This window comes from Homo sapiens, chromosome 19, assembly GCF_000001405.40.
Source record: "Homo sapiens chromosome 19, GRCh38.p14 Primary Assembly".
Classification (NCBI taxonomy): Eukaryota; Metazoa; Chordata; class Mammalia; order Primates; family Hominidae; genus Homo; species Homo sapiens.
The window spans coordinates 36,074,754-36,098,699 of record NC_000019.10 but is presented as its reverse complement, the minus strand read 5'-3'; the positions used below and the strand labels follow the sequence as shown (position 1 = coordinate 36,098,699).

The window sequence follows — 23,946 nt, the reverse complement described above, 5'->3', positions numbered from 1 at the left end:
AACCTGCTCCTCCTAAAGATTCCCTGTTTCAGTTGTTTTTTCCAGTTACTCATGCCCCAACCTTGGGATCATCCTTCATTCACCTCTCTTATTCTGTCTCTTATAATCCACATTGTCTTTCTTTTTTTTTTTTTTTGAGAGGGAGTCTCACTCTGTCGCCAGGCTGGAGTGCAGTGGCATGATTTCGGTTCACTGTAACCTCTGCCTCCTGGGTTCAAGTGATTCTCCTGCCTCAGCCTTACCAGTAGTTGGGACTATAGGCATGCACCACCATGCCCAGCTAATTTTTGTATTTTTAGTAGAGACGGGGTTTTACCATGTTGACCGGGATGATCTTGATCTCTTGACCTTGGATTACACCCGCCTTGGCCTCCCAAAGTGCTGGGATTACAGGCGTGAGCCACCGCACCCGGTCTCTTTTTCTTTTTTTTTTTTTAAGAGACAAGGTCTCGTTCTGCCATCCAAGCTGGAGTGCAGTAGCACGATCACTGCAGCCTCCAACTCCTGGGCTGAAGTGATCCTCCTGCCTCAGGCTCCTGAGTAGCTGGGACTATGGGTGTGCACCACCATGCCTGGCTATTTTTAATCTTTTGTAGAGATGGGAGTCTCATTATGTTGCCTAAGCTGGTCTCGAGCTCCTGGCCTCGTGGCTTTTACACGTATAGGCTGTTATGACTAGAACATTCGTCCCAGTATCTGCCTGTCTCACTTGCTTCAACTCTGCTCAAACATCATTTTCCCAATGAGGCCTTTCCTGTTTACTTAAAACTGACACCCCCCAACACTCCTTATTTTCTTTTTTATTTTTATTTTTTTTATGAGACAAAGTGTTGGCTCTGTTGCTCATGCTGGAGTGCTGTGGAGTGCAGCTCCCTGCATCCTCGACCTCCCTGGCCCAAACAATCCTCCCACTTCAGCCTCCTGAGTACCTGGGACTACAGGTATGCACCACCATGCCTGGCTAATTTTTTTATTTTTTGTAGAGATGGGGTCTCACTATATTGCTCAGGCTGGTCTTGAACTCCTGGGCTCAAGTGATCAACCTGCCTTGGCCTCCCAAAGTGCTGGGATCACAGGCATGAACCACCGTGCTGGGCCCCTGTTCTTTTTCTCTTTTTTGAGACAGGATCTCACTCTGTTGCCCACGCTGGAGTGTAGTAGTGGTGCCTTCTCAGTTCCCTACAGCCTCAACCTCCTGGGCTCAAGTGATCCTCCCACTTCAGCCTCCTGAGTAGCTGGGACCACAGACACGTATCACTGCACCTGGCTGACGTATTTTCCTTCTTGATTCTTTTCCCTCCACAGCACTTATCAGCACCCAACCTACTACGTCATTTACTTATTTAATGGGGATATTGTTCCTCGCCCACACAGGCAAGTGAGCCTGTGAAGGGAGAGACTTTTGTTTCCCTTGCTCACTGTTGTGTCCCTGACATCCAGAACAATGCCTGGCAGAGAGCACTGATCATGAACAAAGGGCTGTCTCACTGAGCCTGGAAGGATGACAGGGCTTCTCCAGGGAAAAGAGGGACATGGAAAGGAAAAAGGGCTTCCAGAAGGCAGAGCTGGGGAGGCGTTTCCTCTGCCAGCCCCTGAGCAACCCTCTCCCTGAAGACTTACCAGCCGCTTTGCCCACAGTGGCAGCTTGCCGTTGGTTAGCAGGCAACGAGGATCTGGAAAGACACAGAATCCATGAAAAGAGGACAAACAACCCAACAAACAGGCCACATACATAACCGGGCAGTCCCCAAAGAGGCAACACCACAACCCAGAAGTCAGAAGGCTCAACAGCACCGGGGGTTAGGGAAATGCAAACTTAAACCGTGGGATGCGATATTTGACTCACGAGACTGACCGAGGTGAAAAAGCTTAATACTACCAAAGGATGGCAGGAAAAGTGTGGGGACAATGGAGAGCCTAATGCAATGCAGGGTGGGGCAGTAACTGGGTTTGGAGAACTCTTGGGGTTCTCTTTTTTTTTCTTTTTTTGAGACGGAGTCTCGCTCTGTTGCCCAGGCTGGAGTGCAGTGGCGCGATCTCGGCTCACTGCAACCTCCACCTCCCGGGTTCATGCCATTCTCCTGCCTCAGCCTCCCAAGTAGCTGGGACTACAGGTGCCCGCCACCATGCCCGGCTAATTTTTTTTTTTTGTATTTTTAGTAGAGACGGGGTTTCACCATGTTAGCCAGGATGGTCTCGATCTCCTGAACTCGTGATCCGCTCGCCTCGGCCTCCCAAAGTGCTGGGATTACAGGTGTGAGCCACTGCGCCCAGCCGGGGTTCTCTTTTAAAATAAAGGCCAGGCATACTGGCTCAAGCCTGTAATCCCACCACTTTGAGAGGTCGAGGTGGGAGGATACTTCAGGCCAGGGGTTTGAGACCAGCCTGGGCAACACAGTGAGACCTTGTCTCTACACACACCATCCCCTGATACACACATATTTAGCTGGGTGTGGGAGCTTGAGCCTGTGGTCCCAGCTACTCCACAGGCTAAGGAGGGAAAATTGCTTGAGCCCAGGAGGTCAAGGCTACAGTGAGCTATGATTGTGCTATTGAACTCCAGCCTGGGCAACAAAAATAGTGAAATAAAATAATAAAACAACTTTTTTAAAGTAAAATAAAATAACTCCAGGATCCAGTGGTGCTACTCCTCAGACTCTCTCCTGGAGAAGTCCTCACATTTCGAGGAGGCTTAGGAGTGGTCTCCACTCCATAGCCTCATTAACAGTGATGTGCAATCAGGAAAAACCTAAATGGCCACCTGGAGGGGAATAACTTAAAATTTCGCAGGCGTCTGCTTTGTATTCACCAACATACAGGTAGATGAGAGACTTTGCAGAGGAAAAAGATTCCGGACAATATCCGCAACATAATTCAATTTATTTTTACTTGTTCATTTATTTTTTGAGACGGAGTCTTGCTTTGTCACCCAGGCTGGAGTGCAGTGGCGCAGTCTCAGCTCACTGCAACCTCCGTCTCCCAGGTTCAAGCAATTCTCCTGTCTCAGCTTCCCAAGTAGCTGCTATTACAGGCGCACGCCATCACGCCCAGCTAATTTTTGTATTTTTAGCAGACATGGGGTTTCACCATGTTGGCCAGGCTGGTCTCGAACTCCTGACCTCAGGTGATCCACCCGCCTCGGCCTCCCTGAGTGCTGGGATTACAGGCGTGAGCTACCACACCCGGCCTCAAACACATCTTTGATGCCTGGTCAGGTGGTGTGAGTGGATGGAGCTGACTACAGTCTCTGCCCTCAGAAGTGATCACATGCTGAGATGTGGACAGCTACAACAACTGGCTCAGAAGTGGGTACAGCAGATACCAGAAACATGAGCCACACAACCCTAAGACTCTGCTTGAGCTACTATAGGAAAGAGGTGTTCTATTCTCTATGGAGTTTTATAAGCCTGTAGTTGCTGGGGGTATCTTTTCCCCTAGTAAAGGGACAGTCTGTCCATCAGCAAAGCCAACATGAAGAAAAGCAGAGCCAAAAGATACAAAAAAAAATCTTCCTTTTAACATCATCTGTCTATCTGGATCTAGCCATGCTGAAAGCTAATCCTCTCCAATTTTCAGGCACCAAAAAATCCTCTTCCTGACTTAAGCCTGGTTGCTTTTATACTGAAAGAGTCTTGACTGATATGATTATTGAGTTTCTTTCTTTTTCTACAGACAGGATCTCACTCTATTATTCAGGCTGGAGTGCAGTGGTGCAATCATAGCTCATTATAACATGGAATTCCTGGGCTCAAGCGATCTTCCTGCCTCAGCCTTTCAGGTAGCTGGGACTATAGGTGTGCACCACCAGGCCTGGCTAATTTTTTTCTTTTTGTAGGAACGGGGTCTTGGTACGTGCCAGGCTGGTCTCAAACTCCTGGCCTCAAGTGATCCTCCTGCCTCAGCCTCCCATGTAGTTGGGACTACAGATGTGTGCCACTATGCCTGGCTAATTTCTTTAAAAAATTTTTTTTTTGCATAGATGGGCTCTCGCTATGTTGCCCAGGCTGGTCTCGACCTCCTGGCCTCAAGTGACCCTCCCATTTCAGCCTCCCAAAGTGCTAAAATTCCAGGTGTGAGCCACCACGCTAAGCCTGATTACTGAATTTTATTTATTTTATTTATATTATTATTATTATTATTATTTTTGAGACGGAGTCTTGCTCTGTTGCCCAGGCTGGAGTGCAGTGGCGCGATCTCAGCTCACTGCAACCTCTGCCTCCCAGGTTCAAGCAATTTTCCTGTCTCAGCCTCCCTAGTAGCTAGGACTATAGTTGCACGCCACCACGCCCGGCTAATTTTTGTATTTTTAGTTGAGACGGGGTTTCACCATATTGGTCAGGCTGGTCTCCAACTCCTGACCTCAGGTGATCCACCCACCTCGGCCTCCCAAAGTGCTGGGATTACAGGTATCAGCCACCGCACCCTGTCGACTCCTGAGTTTTAATATGTGCCAGGCCCTGTAAACAAGGTCATGGGCAAAACCCAGCAATGATTCCCTACACTGACATAGTTCAAAATAGGGCCCCTTTTCCAACCTGGATCCAAGCTATCTTTGGATGGTGTCTTCAGCATCTCTTCTGGCTCACACTCTTCCTCCAGATCATCCTCTGTTTGCTCTCCAGGGCTCAGGGAGTGAATCTCACTAGGTGTGGACACATACGTATCCTGCCTAAAGCCAGGAATGAGGATGGTAAGGAGAGAATACAGGCAAATGGGCTGGTGGTGGGGACTTGCCTAGGGCTGGGCCCTGTGCTAAGCTCCATGTGAACATATTCTTGGCTGCTGGTCAAGATGGTGCTGGCAAGTCTCTCACTTGATGCCGTCTCCCCACTAGAAACACATCACCACAATAGATGAGATTAACAAAGGCCAGGCTACAAACGAATGCAAACTCTCAGGGCCACAGCAATGGGACAGAAAGCCAAGCAGACAGCGGGGCTGCAGTCCTGTGCTGGGCTTCCTGTAGGTGGTAGCAATGATGGTGGCTCTTCCCGAGTACGGGAAACTAAAACACCCTTGGCATGAGGCAGGCACTGAAGCCAGGGCCCTGGTTCATAGCTTGGGGGTGGAGTGGGAGCCTCAAAAGCAAGATATCTCTAACACCACCTCAGGACCTCAGGACCAGTGGCCCATGTCAAGGCCTGGTCTCCACATTGCCCTGGGAGCCACATGGAGCCAATGGCAAAAACAGACACACCCAGCAGCAGAAGAGAAGAAAACCAAAAAACCTCCCACTCAAAATGAGCAATACCCAAACCAAAACCTCAAATCAAAAACCAGAACATGAGTTCTCTGCAAATAAAATTGGCTTTGCTACATAAAGACTTGAAAGAAATATATTTAGAAGATTCAAAGAAGTAAGTGAAGCTACAGCTTTCACGTGGGAGTAAGAGGACACGTGGCCCCACTGCAGCCCTCCCCTCAGATCCCCTGTCTACCCACCCCTCCCCTTGGCTGGCCGGTCAGGGACTGCTCTGTTCCCACAGCCGCTTGGGGCATCCCCCATCACAGTGCTGAGAGGCTCGCCAAACACTTTGCTTTTCCACTTTAATACCCTTCTCATAGCCGGGTGCAGTGGCTCACACCTGTGATCCCAGCACTTTGTGAGGCCAAGGTGGGAGGATCACTTGGGCCCAGGAGTTCAAGACAAGCCTGGGCAACACAGCAAGACTCTGTCTCTATTATTTACGAAAATTAAAAAAATCCACAAAACCTTTTTGTATCTATTACTGTAACTGCATATTCAAAGTCTGTCTCCCCTACTCAGCTGTGAGTGTGCTAAGGGCAGGGCCTAGGGCTGTCTTGGCCACCACTGTGTCCCCAGCATCACTCCATGGGGCCCTGGCAGGGACTCATCCCTCTGGTGGACAGGCAGGGGCTGCCAGGACCTGGGGTGGCCACTCCGCTTCTTGTCATTTGTGTGCTGCTGCTGCTGCCGGTGGTCAATCTCCAGCAAGTGCTGCTTCATGCAGTTGGTGATCTCCGGGCCCAGGTGCCAGATGAACACGCAGCTGCGGAGGTCAAAGAGAGACACACAAGGCAGAGGAAGAGTAAGCATGGGAGCCGCTGCCGTGGCTGACCCTGAAGCCACCCACACCACAGCCTGGACCCCATTCTCCAGATGCTCCTGGAAAACACACCCCTATCCGCTTAGTGCAGGGGTGCTGGACTTGCCACATCCACACCCTGGGCCCAGGTCTGGGGCATCCCAGCAAACCAGGGCCTGTTCTGGAGGCCTCAAGACCTGAGGAAGGGGGCTGTGGGGAAGAACTGGGGTAAATCAAAGGGAGTGACAAAAGGGACTTCCTTGAGTACCACCCATGTGCTAAAGAATGTATGTATATCATCTCATTCATTTCTCACCATACAATTTTCTTTTTTTTTTTTTTTTGAGAGAGTCTTGCTCTGTCACCCAGGCTAGGGTGCAGTGACGCGATCTCAGCTCACTGCAACTTCTACCTCCCAGGTTCAGGTCATTCTCATGCCTCAGCCTCCCAAGTAGCTGGGACTACAGGCGCCTGCCACCACGCACAGCTAATTTTTGTATTTTTAGTAGAGACACAGTTTCTCCATGTTGACCAGGCTGGTCTTGAACTCCTGACCTCAGATGATCCATCCACCTAGGCCTCCCAAAGTGCTGGGATCACAGGCGTGAGCCACTGCGCCCGGCCTCATCACACCATTTTTAAGGTAAATGTAAACGGTGGTGTCTTTTACAGGGGAGCAAACTGAGGCTCAGGGGAAATAACCTGCTCAAGGTGACAAGAAAATAAATGGCAGAGCTGGGATATGTTTTTTTAGTGTTTTGTTTTTTTTTTGAGACGGGGTCTTGCTCTGTCACCAAGGCTGGAATGCACTGGCATGATCTGTGCTCCCTGCAACCTCTACCTACCAGGTTCAAGCCATCTTCCCCCTCCTGAGTAGCTGGGACTAGAGGTGTACATGACCACACCCGGCTAATTTTTTGTAGAGATAGGGTTTTGCTATGTTGCCCAGGCTGGTCTCGAACTCCTGAGCTCAAGTGATCCACCCGCCTCAGCGTCCCAAAGTGCTGGGGTTACAGGCGTGAGCCATCATGCCCAGCTTAGAGCTGGTATTTGAACTCAGGGCTGGGTGTGACACCAAGACTCCCACAATCCAAACTGGGCAGTTTAGAAATGCTCTCTACACAGGCAGGCTGAGTGCAGTGCTCATGGTATCTGAGCCACAACTCTCCCAAAGGTCCATGTCCCACCTGTCTCCAGATACTGTGATCAAGTGATGACAGTCATAGGTGAACTTCATGCTGGTAATAATTTCTGCAAACAAAGCAGAGAGGCTGCACTTGCCTTCGGAGTCAGAGGGTGTGGGCGGGTGGGGAGGCATCCCAAGCAGAGAGGCACACCCACCTGAATGGCCAAACATCTTGGCAATGCACTCGCCCGAGTAAAAGTCAATCACTGAGATGCTTTTGTCAGAGCAGCTGGTGGCCAGGAAGGTGCCTGAGGGGTCCACATGGACCTGCCAGGAAAGGGACCCACATGTCACTCCAGCTGCCTGCTTCTTCCTTATGATGAGGCCTGGGCCCCTCCCTCCCCCGTGCTGCATGCACAGCACATGGGACTCTGGCAGGGCAGGAGCTCCCGCTCCCATTCGACACGTGAAGAAATTAACAACCACCGCAGCAGTAACAACAGTAGCCAGGCCCTGTGCTAAGCACTGAACATGTGCAAACTGAACTCCTCCAGAGAACAAGTCTATGAGACAAGCTGTCTGTGTGCATTTCAAGAGATGATGCTTGCCCAAGGTCACACAGTCAGCCTGAGGCAGAACCTGAACCCATAACTGTCCTAGACCAGAGGCTCTGAGAAGGTCCCCCCTTGTCCTGAGTGACCCGTGGCTGGTGTGGGCAAACCAGGAGGGGAGTTCATGCCTCTGATTCTTCCCACCATACCCTGCTGCCACTCAAAATGGAACCCACTTAGACGCCCCACTTGGGGAAGGGCTCTGTAAATAAAGGAAACACAGCTGGGGTCACCCTCCCCACCCTCTCGCAAGCATCCTTGTTTAACCAGGCCTGAGAAGGTGCTGGGCAGCGCGGTGCACTGAGGAAGGACCAAGGGCACAGGTCTCAGGTGTGGGCCGTCACAATAGGTGGCCCATCAGGGCAGCAGACAGACAGGGGTCTCCAACTCCTCACCTTCAGCAAGGACCCTTCGTCACCCTGGGAGCCCTTGTAGCACTTCTTCTGCTTCCCGTTCACAGTGTTGTAGACTCTGGGGAAGTAGGGGCATGTTGCGGCCAACAGGGCCCCGCCTACCCCACCACCTCATTCTCTGGCTCTTGCTGTCCTCCCCTCCCCTGGAAGCCCCCTGCTACCTCTTGTCCCCATCTGATGCCTAGACTGAAACTGAAACCCCATCTCAAGCTGAGGTTGTCCTGGGGTATCCACTGAGTTAATGTTCATCTCCCCCACACACTGCAAGCTCAGTGCTTGGCACCGCATGAGAAAGAACTGGGAAGGGGTGCAGAGCCTCTTTGCACTGCTTTGCCCTCTGCACACTCACTCTCTGCCTCCCCCTGGCTCGCTCCTCCACATCCTCCCCAGGCTAAGGTGTCTCTTCCTCCAGGAAGTCCTGCTTGATCCGCAGGTGGGGTCAGGTGTCTCCACAGGGCCCCTGGGCTCCCCCATCTCTGACCACTCTGTCACTGTCTGTGGCTGTGAGGTGGCCGTGTCCATTCTACTGGACTGTGAGCTCCATGAAGGAGGGCCTGGGGCTATCCTGGCCACTGCCATGATCCCAGCACCATCCAGCCCAGTTAGGTGCTCAGGGAATACGGGTGAATGAGGGAGTTTATGTGCCACATCAGCACCTTAGTCATCCCACACCGGCTCTAGGGAGAGCCAGAAGAAAGCCCTCTGCTGACCTGGAGGCCAGGCTTGGGAGAGCCCAGCTTCTAAGAAATACCTGCTGGTGGCCGGGCACGGTGGCTCACGCCTGTAATCCCAGCACTTTGGGAGGCTGAGGTGGGCAATATCACCTGAGGTCAGGAGTTCGAGACCAGCCTGGCCAACATGGCGAAACCTCGTCTCTACTAAAAATACAAAAAATTAGCTAGGCATGGTGGCAGGCGCCTGTAATTCCAGCTACTTGGGAGGCTGAGGCAGGAGAATCACTTGAACCCAGGAGGTGGAGGTTGCAGTGAGCTAAAATGGTGCCACTGCACTCTAGCATGGGCAACAGAGCAAGACTCTGCCTCAAAAACAAAAACAAAAAAAAACCAAGAAGGAACACCTGCTGGGTCCCTCAATTCCTTCCCAGCTTCTTGGGGACCAGAGGAACAGAGGGAGGAAAGCAGACAGCCTAGGACAAGGCAGACCAGGCCAGCTAAGGGTCCAGGGCCACCCCTTACCTCACATTGCGGTCCTGGCAGGCCACGGCCACGTACTTCTGGGTGATGTCAATGTCCATGTCATACAAGGTGGTTTTCTCTGCTACGTGGTGGGTACGGACAAAGTGTAGTCCATCCGAACCCTGGCAGGGCCGGCAGGACCTTCAGAGAATGCCCCGACAACCCCCCACCCCAGCCCCCAAGGAGGCCATGCCACCCTACCTGCTGGGCACTGCGAAAGTAGATGCTCTTGTCAGCCCCACAGCTGATCATCTGGATGTCTCTGTTGCCTAGGGGAGGAGGACGCTGTGTGTTAGGCAGGGCTGGGCCACATGGGCAGGGGACCCTAGCTGGGGAACTCCACTGCAAGAGCCATCAATCAACTGTGCTGGGATCAAGGCTTCCTAAAGGTGGTGAGGTGGGTGCTGGGTCTGGGTGGGACTCTGTAAGGTATGAGCTGTACGTGTGAGGGGGCACAGGTGGAGCTGTGGCCAAGGCAGGCTCTGCAGAGCAAGGGCATATAGAGAAACAAAGGCTGGGGACAAAGAAGGGACACCCTCTCCAGTCTGGGATTGAGATAGGTGACTTGAGTAGCGGAGTAGAGGCAGGACTGCAGCAGCGACCAGTGGAGACAGGCTGGGAGGCTCGTGCCATCAGGATCAACTGCAAGATCCACATGAGCCTTGGGCCAGGCCCCATGCATGTAGCGGGTCTTCCTGAATGCTCACCACCCATCCCACTGGACAAGCATGAACACAGAGGTTCACAGAGTCCTTGTCCCAAGGCACACAGAGAGGACAGGGGCAGGACTGAACCCAGGCATTCTCTGGTGCCAAGGTCAAAGCTGTTAAACACTGCTCTGAACCTGGGCCTCCCCTTTGAGCCTCAACTTCCGGTCCGTACAATGGGCATGGTGACAGTTCCTTCTCTGGAGAGTGATGTGAAGCCCTTGGAACAGGGACTGCCACATGGTAAGCATTAGAAACATTCTTGCTTTTATTATTCTCATTTCTTTTTTTTTGAGACAGAGTTTCGCTCTTGTTGCCCAGGCTGGAGTGCAATGGCGTGAGATGCCCCCGGCCGTCTCATTTCTTTACAGAATAACAGTTTGGTGAGGATGAAATGACAGAACAAATATAAAACTCTGAGTCTGGGCACATCACACATGCTCCTTCATGACAGGACATTTGAGAGGGTCCAGGCCTGACATACAAGTATTAGATGTTGCTCAAGGAGGAGTCATTGGCTCACAGAAGGGAGTGAGCCCCATATAAGGGAGGAAGGGTAACCTGGGAGGGACCCAGAGAAGGCCTGCAAGCCTCTGGTAATGTTCTGCTTCTTAACCTGCACGTGGTGAATCCAAGTACCGTATTTAACAATATTACGACCATGAGCAATTAGAACAGTCTCTGCTATCAACAACGTCCTAGTTCAAACCTTGCTCCTAAGAACTGTGGATACTCACTTCGGCCACCACGCCCAGCTTATTTTTTATTTTTATTTTTTTTGAGATGGAGTTTTGCTCTTGTTACCCAGACTGGAGTGCAGTGAAACAATTTTGGCTCACTGCAACCTTGGCCTCCTGGATTCAAGCTATTCTCCTGCCTCAGCCTCCCAAGTAGCTGGGATTACAGGTGTGCACCACCATGCCCGGTTACTTTTTTTGAATTTTTAGTAGAGACGGGGTTTCACTATGTTGGCCAGGCTGGTCTTAAACTCCTAGCTTCAGGTGATCTGCCTGCCTCAGCCTCCCAAAGTGCTGGGATGACAAGCATGAGCCACCACGCCCGGCCTATATTCTTCTTTTTTTTTTTTTTGAGACAAAGTCTCGCATTGTCACCCAAGCTGGAGTGGAGTCACTGGCGCAATCTTGGCTCACTGCAACCTCCGCCTCCCGGGTTCACACAATTCTCCTGCCTCAGCCTCCCGAGTAGCTGGGATTACAGGTGCACACCACCATGCCTGGCTAATTTTTTTGTATTTTTAGTAGAGATGGGGTTTCACTATGTTGGCCAGACTGGTCTCGAACTCCTGACCTCATGATCTACCTGCCTTGGCCTCCCAAAGTGCTGAGATTACAGGTGTGAGCCATGGTACCTGGCCATTATTCTTTTTTTTTTGAGACAGGGTCTCACTCTGTTGCCTAGGCTGGAGTGCAGCCTCCACCTCCCAGGTTCAAGCAATTCTCCCACCTCGGCCTCCTGAGTAGCTGGGATTACAGAAACAACACCCCGCCCAGCAAATTTTTGTATTTTTAGTAGAGACGGGGTTTCACCATGTTGTCTAGGAAGGTCCCGAACTCCTGACCTCAGGTGATCCACCCTCCTTGGCCTCCCAAAGTGTTGGGATTACAGGTGTGAGCCATTACACCCGGCCCCAGTCATTATTCTGTATACTGTACACAGATACTGTATTCACTTGTTTGGATATATATTTTACAGGAGAGTTGAAAGAATGAATCCTTTTTTAGCAGGGTAGCTAGCAAGGCGCAGGGAGCGGGAAGAAAGGGGCTCACCAGCGAACTTGATGGCGGTGATGGAGGAGGAGTGGTCATCCAGCGTCTGCTCCAGGTTGTAGTTCTTCTCCACGTTCAGCACATGGATCAGCCGGTCCCGACTGGCTGAGGCCAGCAAGGTCAGCCCTGTGAGAGGAGAGAATGAGACTGGTTCCTGAAGGCTGCGTGGGTGCCCTGGCCTCCCAGAAGGGCAGTGTGACCAAGCTGCCCAGTCCTCGGAGAAGGGGTCTTTGGTTCTTCAACTGTAGCCAACTTGGCCCAAGCCTGGCAAGGGCCACTCCCTTAGCTCTGTGTGGTCTTTCCCAGAGCCCCCACACCCTGGCATTTCACCTCCTCACCACCAGCTCAGGGAGGATGAGTCTCGATGGGCGCATGGACGCTCCTCCAGGGACATCCACAGCAGACGCCCCAGCAGAGCCCAGCGCTCTTGCCTGCTGGGTCTGTGCTGGGTAAAGCCCTGGCAACCTCTCAGCCTCTTCCAAAACCAGTGTCCTCTCACCCTCTGAGGTCTGGCTACCTGGGCCTTGTTCAGGTCCTATTGACTGCCTGTGGCCAGACTCCCATCTGCCACCAGCCTTCCCTACTCTGGTCACTTGCTATGTCTGAGGCCTAATAACATGACCTGAGGCAGAGGGGAGATCAGGAGAGGCGAACCGAGTGAAGATATGTTTCAAGACAAGTTGGTGGGGCACACAGCATGGGGGATGAGAGAACGAAAGAAGAACATGGGGAAAATCACATCAGGATATAACTCCACCAACTCTGTAACTCCCAAAGTGCTGGGATTACAGGCATGAGCCACCGTGCCCAGCCTAGAAAACATCTTGAGGAGCCGGGCATGGTGGTTCACGCTTGTAATCCCAGCATTTTGGGAGGCCAAGGCGGGTGGATCACCTGACGTCAGGAGTTTGAGACCAGCATCGTGCAATACCTTCTATGCTAAAAATAAACAAGAAAAAGGACACAAAATGCTACCATATATCATCCATATATCATCTGGGTGACAGAGCAAGACTCTGTCTTGAAACAAACGAAATCTTCACTTGGAAATCTTCTCCTATCTCATGATCTCATCTGATGGCCCAGAAGGAATTTTCTGTTGTTTTAATGAAGAGGACCATGAGGTCTGGAGACCCTACTATGGTCCTAGCCTTCAGCCTAGGCTAACATGGTGAAACCCCGTCTGTACTAAAAATACAAAAATTAGCCGGGTGTGGTGGGGGCGTGCCTGTAATCCCAGCTACTCTCGAGAGGCTGAGGCAGGAGAATCGCTTGAACGCAGGGGAATCGCTTCAACCTGGGAGGCGGAAGTTGCAGTGAACTGAGATCGCGTCATTGCCCTCCGGCCAGGGCGACAGAGTGAGACTCTTGTCTCAAAAAAAAAAAAAAAAAAAAAAAGGTCAGGTGTGGTGGCTCATGCCCTAATCCCAGCGCTTTGGGAGGCCAAGGCGGGCGGATCACCTGAGGTCAGGAGTTTGAGACCAACCTGGCCAACATGGTGAAACCCCATCTCTACTAAAAATACAAAAATTGGCCAGGCATGGCAGCAGGCACCTGTAATCCCAGCTACATGGGAGACTGAGGCACGAGAATCACTTGAACCAGAGAGGTGGAGGCTGCAGTCAGCAGAGATGGTGCCACTCCCCTCTAGCCTGGGTGACAGCAAGACTCCATCTCAAAAAAAAAATTGAGGAATTTGGGTGAAGCCTATGGGGTGTTCATTATAATATTCTCCCAATATTTCTATAGGCTTCAAACTTTTTGAAAATAATGCCTAACAATCAATCTATCTTCTCATTCACAATTCACTCATTCATACATCCACCCCTTTGGCTTGGGTGCTGGCACCAGCAGCGGGCAAGTCAAGCTGAGTCCTGCCTGCGGGTGTCTTGCTTTCTGAAGTCCCAGCCACTCTGGTCTCAGGGTCCAGCTACAGGGGCCCTTACCGAACACAAAACTCCCAGCTGTCATCCACAGTCCCACCAGACACCAACTACCCCTTTCTGTGGCCCTGCCAGGGGGGCTGCCTCCCTGCCTGACCCCCATTCCACCCCTGCTGCGGGCTCACCCGTCTCTGGCTTGGAGTACTCCAGGCACAGCACCTCAGCATCATGGGCCTCCACCTTGACCAGCTCGTCCATGAAGTGCAGCTCGTGGATCCTGGGAGACACACACCGCCCGCTGAAGCCCCACACCCCAGCCCCATGTGCTCTACCACTTCTAGAATAGGTCAGAATGGCCAGGCCACCAACAATGAGAACCCCTTATCATGGCCAAATACTCTAGACATGCACAACCACTTTTCTCATTTAGAAACCTGCCATCGTAAAGGGAGCCGTGTTGAACCAGGGAGCACCTCAGCAGGCAGCAGCCCCTTGTGGTGCCTGGGCCAGAACAGAGCCCCAGGGATCTAGGACAGTCTTCTAGGGGGGCAGGTGTTTACGTAGGGCTGCATCAGAGGTGGTCCCTGGGGTAGGACAGGGGCCAGGGGCTAGGGGCCAGAGGTCATAGTCCAGGATAGGAGCTATGGATGAGAACATTTGATTCCAGTCTCTCATTGTTAAAAGAGTCTCAAATCTAGACCTTCCTGATTCTCCCCAAATGAAATCAGTCATCGAGTCATCCCAGCTTCTTCATTCTACCCGTGTGATCTTACTCCAGACACCTTGTGCCAATAACATCACTTACATCAGGGGTCAGTGAGAGGATTAAATCAGTCAACACAGTGCTCAGGCCAGCGCCCACCAAGGGGGAAGAGCACTATCCCCATGTTGGCTCTTGGTACCGTTTTGCCACTCCAGACAGTGCCATGTCAATGTAAGCAGCTCACTGACACACTGAGCTGGTCTCATACAGTGACTGATATCAAAACAGGTGCCAATATTTAAAAATTATCGAATTTCACAGAAAAAAATCGGCACTTTCTGCTCTTCTTGACAACAGGAAAGTTTGAAAACTTGTAGCCTACTCTCCTGGGGCTGCCTGGTGGCTGCTGCCCCTTTATGTCCCCTCTAGTTTCCCCCAACTCTCCTCCATTCCCCAGTGGCTCCAATACCCAGGTGGTCACAGCTGTCATTTGTCATCTTAAACCTGGTCCCAGCAACAGGGCCTATGTCCCACTAGCACCTACTGGGTTGGTAACATCCTGCCAAACCTCAACAGGGCACATAAGCAGCCTGAACTCTCAGCTATCCCACCCTCATAGCCCCTCTCCCAGAGCCACCAGGACCCTCCTCCAGCTGGCATCTTCGGTGACAGTTCAGCACTGGTACCATGTGGCTGGTGAAAGTGTCACGCTGCCCTAGAGTCATGTGAGCTTGCCTGTACACTCTATAGGCAAAATCTGCACACCCTAGCTGCTGAGGTCCTGGTAGTTACTCTGCTCTCAGCCCTTCTGGAAGCCTCTTACGAGCTTAAGTTCCCAATGGGAGCTGTTCATGGGATTACTATTCACAGCCCCTCATTCCCAATGGGCAGCAGGAGGTGCCAAGGCCAGGGCTTCTGCCCACTGCCCTGAGAACCTGAGCTGGAGCTGGGAGGTGTACACTGGACACTGCCAGGGCCCACTTGCCTCAGATTTCCACTTCGGTCGCCTGAAGCCAAATGCTGGCCGTCAGGACTGACCTGCATGACCCGCACCCCGGCTTTCACGTCCATGGGTGTCCCATTCTCGCTCCCCCGGTCTGGGAAGTGTGACATGTCCTGCAGGTGCTGGATGTCATTCTCCACGTACACGACCTTCAGCAGGGTCTGCAGGAAGGACAGGGCTGAGGTCAGCACGAGCAGCTCAGAAGCACCTCTGAAATCGTGTCCCTCCATAGCCAGTCTCTTCTTCGTTAGTAATACAACTCTAATTTTGAGCTGGGAGTTTCACCAATCAGAATAATTATTTCCTTGCCTCCCCTGCAGCTAGATAAGAATATGTGAATAAATTCTGAACTATTAAATATAAAGCAAGCACGTATTCTTCTGCTGTCTTTTCTCCATCCTGCAGCCTGGAACTCAGATATGATAGCAGGAGCCCCCATAGCCACACTGGGTCATGAGGACATAGCCTGCTCCCTCAAATGACAGAGTAGAGAGCTGGAAGGCCCTTGGATCCCTAAGGGCTTCCTGCAGAACGGTCTAAACTGGTTACCTTCAGACTACTTTCATGAGTCAGAAACCTAACTTTTACCTCTTGTTTTGAGTTTTTCTATTGTGTGCAGCCAAAAACAGCATGTATGTCACAGGTACAGAGGAGACGATGGTAGCACTGGGTAGGGAATGAGGGGAGTAATAAAGGTGCACCTGCAGGGCACCTGCTACAGCCTCCTGCATGGAGGGTCTTTTTAGTTCCAATCACACTGGCCTCTTTCAGGTTTTCCAATTCACCCAGCTGTTTCCCACCCCAGGGCCTTCATACAGGCTATTCCCTAAGTATAGACCCTCTCCCCTTCCCTCTTTACTCTTCCCAATCTCAACTTAGCTGTCCCTTCCGCGGGAAGCTGCTCCGGATGTCCCAGATAAGTTCACATGCTGCTGCTCTATGTCCTACTAGCACCCTGCACATTTTCCTTCACAGTGCTTTTCGCACTTGTGATTGTGCATTAACATGGTCGGCTGTCAGTTCACTGTCGGCCCTCACTAGATTGTGTGTGCCACAGGACAGAAGAGTCTTAGTCACTGTTGTGTCCCTAGCATGTAGCCAAGCACCTGGCATGGACGTTAATAAGTGTCTGCAGAATAAATGAATGCATGACTCAGGTCTCAGCTCCCCAGAGACGCCCTCTCACTGGGCTTGCAATACTAACCAAAATTTCCTCAGCAAACTTTTCTTCCCAGCCTCCCATCATGGCTCTCGCCAGCATTCTGCCCATACCCCCGTGAGGCCTCACTGTGTGGCAGCTGAATGGGCTGGCTCATCAGGTGCTCTCCCAGGGAATTCCATCTCAAGACTTAGGAAGCAATTTCACCTGGGCTGGGTGTGTTGGGCTGCCGGGAGTGGCCACGTCCACACATCTGCAGAGCAGGAGCCAACTGGCAAAGAATCAGAGAGGATAGAGCGTGCCACCTCAGAGAGGGGGCAGGAGAAAGAGAAACAAGAGGCAGTGATGCAGAGAGGGACCTGCCTTGGTTGCCGGCTCTTGCCCTCATGGAACCTAACATCTAGGGTCCATCAGACTCTCTCCTGCCCCTGCATTCAAGCTTACAGTAGGTCTTTGTTCCTCCTGAAAGATGGTTCACAAAGGAAGCCACTCACATTGCTGAAGATGTTTTTCTGCCAGTGAGAATCAGGGCTGCTGTCCAAGTTCCAGAAGCGAATGGTGTTGTCTGAAGAACAAGTCAGAAAGGATCCTGATGGCAAACAAGCTCTCTGGTCTTCAAACTCAGGATACACCTACAGTTCCCAGAGGACAAGGCAAAGGATGACTCAATGACAGCACTATGACTTACTGTTGCATTTTCATGGAAAAAAAAAAAGTAAGTTAAAGATAAACAGGTATCGTGCAATACCTTCTATGCTAAAAATAAACAAGAAAAAAAAAGGACACAAAATGCTACCATATATCATCCATGTCCCACCTTCAGCCTAGGCCTTAACACATACCCTCAAATAAACTTCCAAGGGAAATGTGGAACTCAATCAAACATGACTAAGCACAAAAGAAAACGAGGTACCATCAGCAAGAAGCAGCAGAAGCAACAGAGTCTAGCAAGACTTTAAATACTGGAATTATTAAATCAGGGGAGGTGGCGCATGCCTGTAGTCCCAGCTACTTGGGAGGCTGAGGCAGGAGGACTGCTAGAGACCAGCAGTTCAAGTCTACTCTGGCCAACATATGAGACTGTGTCTCAAAACAAACAGACAGACAAACCAAAAACAAAATAAAAAAACCCAAATTGGAATTATCAGACAGAATATAAAATAACTACATTCAATATGTTTGAAGAACTAAAAGATAATTTTGACAAGATTAAAAGTGTGCAGCCAACCAGAAATTATAAAGATTAACCAAGCAGGGCTGAAAAAGACCAAAACAGAACAGCTTCTAGAAATGAATAATAAAAACATATTGGCCGGGCGCGGTGGCTCATGCCTGTAATCTCAGCACTTTGGGAGGCTGAGGTGGGCGGATCACCTGAGGTCAGGAGTTTGAGACCAGCCTCAACATGGAGAAACCCCGTCTCTACTAAAAATACACAATTAGCTGGGCGTGGTGGTGCACACCTGTAATCCCAGCTACTCGGGAGGCTGAGGCAGCAGAATTGCTTGAACCTGGGAGGCTGAGGCAGCAGAATTGCTTGAACCTGGGAGGCGGAGGTTGCAGTGAGCCAAGATCGCGCCATTGCACTCCAGTCTGGGTAACAAGAGCGAAACTCCATCTCAAAAAAATAAAAATAAAAAAATAAAAAATAGGCCGGGCATGGTGGCTCCCGCCTGTAATCCCAGCACTTCGGGAGGCCGAGGCGGGAGGATCACGAGGTCAGGAGATCGAGACCATCTTGACTAACACGGTGAAACCCCGTCTCTACTAAAAAAAAAAAATACAAAAAATTAGCCGGGCGTGGTGGCAGGCACCTGTAGTCCCAGCTACTCAGGAGGCTGAGGCAGGAGAATGGCGTGAACCTGGGAGGCGGAGCTTGCAGTGAGCCGAGATCACGCCACTGCACTCCAGCCTGGGCGGCAGAGGGAGACTCCGTCTCAAAAAAAAAATAATAAAAAAATAAAAACATTAAAAACCAAAGATTAGATATAACTGAGGAGAAAATTAAGTGAACTGAAAGACAAAACTAAAGATATTTAGAATGAAGCTGAGAAGGACAAAGAGCCACCATATAAAGAGATTTCAAAATACGGAAGATTGAGAACTGGGAAGATGATAGTAGCGGCATTAATTTTTTTAATCTCCCAAAATCTCGACATAAGAAAAACATCAACCAGATAGCAAAACCCAAACCTACAGACAACATTTATAGCAAAACTCAGTGACAAAATACTCCCATAAACCCCAAAATACAAGTGAGTGGGACAAACCACCACCAATCACAAGACCTACATATCATCAGCATGCATGTGGGAGACAGAGAAGTAATAAGGCATCTGACAGACCCAGCAACAGGATAATTCCAAAGTAGCCAAGAGGTGTTCATTGGAAAGCACACTGGGCCAAACTGAACAGCAGCTGAAAGTAGGAGGGTTTCATCCACCCCAACAGCAGTTGAGTGCAAGGGGTAAGGCCTAAAGGGACTGGAGAAGATCCTGTGAACTTTGTCCTTCCAGGACAAAGCTCCACACTGAAGAGAAACTGCTAAGAGTAGAAATGAAATTGACCAATCACAACAGGGACAGAAGAAATAAAGTAAAGAGGAGATTGAGACGAAAGAAGAGACATAACAGATAAAGAGGACCACAAAAAGGAAGTATCAGAAAGCAGGCTGCCATATTTTAACACAGTATAAAAATAACAGAAGCCTGCAATCCCAGCACTTTGGGAGGCTGAGGCAGGAGGACTGCTTGAGCCCAAGTTTGAAACAAGCCTGGGCAGTATAATGAGATCCCATCTCTACCAAAAATAAAAAATTAGCTGGGCATGGTAGTGCATGCCTGTGGTCCCAGCTACTCGGGAGGCTGAGGCAGGAGAACTGCTTGTGCCTATGAGGTTGAGGCTTCAGTGAGCTGTGATCATGCCACTGCACTCCAGCCTAGGTAACAGTGAGACTCCTTTTCAAAAACAAAACAAAACATGCCACCCCACCCCCACAAAAAAAAGAAAAGACAGAGTTCTTCTTGTGTAGTTGGAAAATCTGTCCTGAAGCACACCAACTTCTAAAATTTCAGAAAAACTGGTATCACATAAAAATGAACAACAGGAAAGGACCAAGGTCAAATCCAATAGTTACTCTTAAAAAAGAAAAAAAAAAAAAAGCACAGCAGAAACATATTTTCACAAAAAAAGATAAAAACTATAACTTACTTTGTTTTTTTTTTTTTTTTTGACAGAGTCTCGCCCTGTCGCCCAGGCTGGAGTGCAATGGCACGATCTTGGCTCACTGCAACCTCTGCCTCCCGGGTTCAAGCAATTCTCCTGCCTCAGCCCCCCAAGTAGCTGGGATTACAGGCGCCCGCCACCACGGCCAGCTAATTTTTTGTATTTTTAGCAGAGACAGGGTTTTGCCATGTTGGCCAGGCTGGTCTCAAACTCCTGACCTCAGGTGATCCACCTGCCTCGGCCTCCCAAAGTGTTGGGATTACCGACGTGAGCCACCACGCTGGGCCTACTGTTTCAAAAGAAGGTAAAAGATATTTAAAAAATGATCCAAGGTATGAAAAACAACCTACAAAAACTCAGAAACAAAGTGATGTAACTGAAAGAAAGAACTACGTCAGGCACAGTGGCTCACGCCTGTAATCCCTGCACTTTGGGAGGCCGAGGTGGGCAAATCACTTGAGGCGAGGAGTTTGAGACCAACCTGGCCAACACGGCGAAACCGTGTCTCCACTAAAAAAACAAAAATTAGCCAGGCATGGTGGTGCGTGCCTGTAATCCCAGCTACTCAGGAGTCTGAGGCAGAAGAATCGCTTGAACCTGGGAGCCTGAGGTTGCAGTGAGCGGAGATCATACCACTGCACCCCAGCCTGGGCGACAGAGTGAGACTCCGTTTCAAAAAAAAAAAAACAAAAAAACTTGTACTTACATGTTCATAGCAGTGGTATTCGCAACAGCCATAAGGTAGAAAAAAACCCAAGTGGCCGTCAACTGATAACAGAGAACAAAATGTGTTCTATCCGTACAATGAAATATTATTCCACCATAAAAAGGCATGAAGTGCTGACACATGCTACAACATGGATAAATCTTGAAAACATTATGCTAAGTGAAAGCCAGGCACAAAAGCCCACATAGTCTATGATTTCACTTATAAGGAATATTCAGGTCAGGCATGGTGGCTCACGCCTGTAATCCTAGCACTTTGGGAGGCTGAGGCGGGCAGATCACCTGAGCTCAGGAGTTTGAAACCAGCCTGGGCAACATGGTGAAACCCTGTCTCTACTAAAATACAAAAAATTCATCAGGCATGGTGGCATGTGCCTGTAATCCCAGCTACTCTAGAGACTGAAGCATGGGAATAGCTTAACTCGGGAGGTGGAGGTTGCAGTGAGCCGAGATTGTGCCTCTGTATTCCAGTCTGGGTGACAAAGCGAGACTCCATCCAAAAAAAAAAGAAAGAAAGAGGAAAAGAAAGGAAACAGCCTGGCATGGTGGCTCATGCCTGTAATCCCACCACTTTGGGAGGCTGAGGTGGGCGGATCACGAGGTCAGGAGATCGAGACCATCCTGGCTAACATGGTGAAACCTCGTCTCTACTAAAAATACAAAAAATTAGCTGGGTGTGGTGGCGTGTGCCTGTAGTCTCAGCTGCTCAGGACGCTGAGGAAGAAGAATGGCGTGAACCCGGGAGGCGGAGCTTGCAGTGAGCCGAGATCGTGCCACTGCATCACTCCAGCCTGGGCGACAGAGTGAGACTCCATCTCAAAAAAAAAAAAAAAAAAAGGAAGGAAGGAAGGAAGGAAAGAAGGAGAGAAAAGAAAAGATTCAGAACAGGCAAATCCATAAAGACAGAAGCAGATTAGTCATTTCCATGGATGGGGGGAGTGGGGAATGGGGAGGACTGCTTAACAGATACAGGATTTTTTGGGGTGGGTGGGTGATGAAAATGTTCTGAAACTAGAGAGTAATGATGGCTGCATGACACTGTAAGTGTACTAAATGCCACCAAATGGTACAATTTAAAATAGTTGAAATGGTGAACTTGATGTCATGTATATTTTATCATTTTATATATATATATACACACACACACATACATATATACACACATATATAATTCCCCATTCCAAAATAAACAGGGGTCAAAAGGGAGACACTATAGTATATAATGGCTACATATTCAGATCCTGTAAATATAGTATAACTATTTTAAAAATTGGAGAGAACAGAGAGAACATATGCATTACAATTGTTTTAACTATCTTCAGAATTGAAAAGTTGTCCATTCTCAGACTGTTGCATGTATAATGTGGGAAAAAGCAAATGAGTTACTGGGGATATTCTAATTCCACCATCCCCTGTGTCCTTAAGAACTAGGCTTCTGGAAGAACGACCCAATAGCGATGAGCATCCCTAACACCCAACCTGTGATTCTGAAGTCCCAATTTGTACTAAAAAAAAACCCTGGCCTTCTCTTTCTCTTTTTTCTTTTTTTTTTTTTTGAGATAGGATCTCCCTCTGTCACCCAGATTGGAGTGCAGTGGCTTGATCTTGGCTTACTGCAACCTCTGCCTCCCGGGTTCAAGCAATTCTCATGCCTCAGCCTCCCAAGTAGCTAGGACTACAGGCGCCTGCCACCATGCCCGGCTAATTTTTTGTATTTTAGTGGAGACAAGGTTTCACCATGTTGGCCAGGTTGGTCTCAAACTCGTGGGCTCGGGTAATTCCCCTGCCCCAGCCTTCCAAAGTGCTGGGATTACAGGCATGAGCCACTGCACCCAGCCCAAAAAAAAAAACATGGTCTTTTCGAGAAATGGTTGATTCCTGATGTGTGACAGGAAATGTACAAGATGAGACTGGAACATATTGGCATCCCAGGCAGCAAGGTGGCTATCAAGAAATACTAGGGTCATGTCCAAAGGGCTCAGGAGCCAATGTTAAGAGGCTCTCACTGGCCAAAGATGGGATGATATGAGCTCCAATAAAGTTAATAATTACAATAGATTAAAACATATCTGATATATTTAAATATATATGAGTTTATAATGATATTAAATAAAACTAGTTACCTTTAGAGGATAGGGAACCAATTCATTATCTTGAAAACTGGTAAATAAAGGGAAAGAATCAAGTATTTCTCCTGCCTTTCCTATATGAAGTATAGCACTGGGTGACCAAATGGCAGATGAGAGCAAATATCTCTTCACGTAAGTAGTCCAACTAATAAAAATAAATTATAGATTTAGAATATCACCATATTGCAACCCTCAATAAATAAAAGGGTCCAGGAACTGAGCATCAATAGCTGCTAACAGGCCAGGCACAGTGGCTCACGCCTGTAATCCCAGCACTTTGGGAGGCCGAGGCAGGCAGATCACTTGAGGTCAGGGGTTTGAAACTAGCCTGGCCAACATGGTTAAACCCCATCTCTACTAAAAACACAAAAATTAGCCAGGCGTGGTGGCGGCTGCCTGTAATCCCAGCTACTCGGGAGGCTGAGGCAGGAGAATTGTTTGAACGCAGGAGCTGGAGGTTGCAGTGAGCTTAGATTGTGCCATTGCACTCCAGACTGGGCAACACAGCCAGATTCCGTCTTGGGGGGGAAAAAAAGCTGCTAACAATAATTGATAAACTCTACATATCTTTTGTGTGATTTTTATTTTCAGAAACATGAAGAATACAGATAGAACCTTAGAGTTAGATAGAACCTTAGAAGAGAGCGAATAGGCCGGGCATGGTGGCTCATGCCTGTAATCCCAGCACTTTGGGAGGCCAAGGCAGGCGGATCACCTGAGGTCGGGAGTTCAAGACCAGCCTGACCAACAAGGAGAAACCCCGTCTCTACTAAAAATACAAAATTAGCAAGGCGTGGTGGCGCATGCCTGGAATCCCAGCTACCTGAGAGGCCGAGGCAGGAGAATCACTTGAACCCGGGAGGCGGAGGATGCAGTGAACCGAGATCACACCATTGCACTCCAGCCTGGGCAACAAGAGTGAAACTCCGTCTGAAAAAAAAAAAGAGAGAGAAGAGGGTAGAAGCAGTATTGGCTGAGAATTTTCTAGAACTGATGAAAAGATCTATCCACAGATACTGTTGTTGAACAGCTATATACATAAACAATAAGGAGATGCAAAGAAAATCAACTGAAGACACCCATAATAAAATTGATAATGGTGAGGGCGAGAGAGAGCAGAACTGGGGGCAGGGAAGTCATCAATGTGGACTGTAGCCTTATCTGTAATATTTCACCTATTATCCCAAATTTTTAAAAATTTCATACAGGAATTTTAAAAGTTATTAAAAAA

The 23,946-nt window shown here is 49.5% G+C and overlaps 1 protein-coding gene across 24 annotated transcripts in view; it reads right to left on the bottom strand.

Annotated features, from left to right (window-relative positions):
* Positions 1-23,946, bottom strand: part of WDR62 (WD repeat domain 62) — a 56,249-nt gene that overhangs the window by 12,446 nt on the left and 19,857 nt on the right. For 16 of the 24 annotated variants that reach the window (XM_017026665.2, NM_001083961.2, NM_173636.5 and 13 more), the window contains 12 exons: positions 17,130-17,267; positions 15,459-15,637; positions 13,956-14,047; positions 11,888-12,013; positions 9,595-9,662; positions 9,394-9,515; positions 8,180-8,255; positions 7,389-7,500; positions 7,235-7,298; positions 5,889-6,011; positions 4,536-4,669; positions 1,621-1,673 (listed from right to left, as the gene is read on the bottom strand). In XM_017026665.2, the coding sequence (XP_016882154.1) occupies positions 1,621-1,673; positions 4,536-4,669; positions 5,889-6,011; positions 7,235-7,298; positions 7,389-7,500; positions 8,180-8,255; positions 9,394-9,515; positions 9,595-9,662; positions 11,888-12,013; positions 13,956-14,047; positions 15,459-15,637; positions 17,130-17,267 (1,287 nt within the window). Of the gene's footprint in view, positions 1-1,620; positions 1,674-4,535; positions 4,670-5,888; positions 6,012-7,234; positions 7,299-7,388; positions 7,501-8,179; positions 8,256-9,393; positions 9,516-9,594; positions 9,663-11,887; positions 12,014-13,955; positions 14,048-15,458; positions 15,638-16,764; positions 16,844-17,129; positions 17,268-22,709; positions 22,861-23,946 lie in introns of those variants that run through there. The other 8 variants (XM_011526840.3, XM_047438666.1, XM_011526841.3 and 5 more) reach the window with 7 other exon arrangements.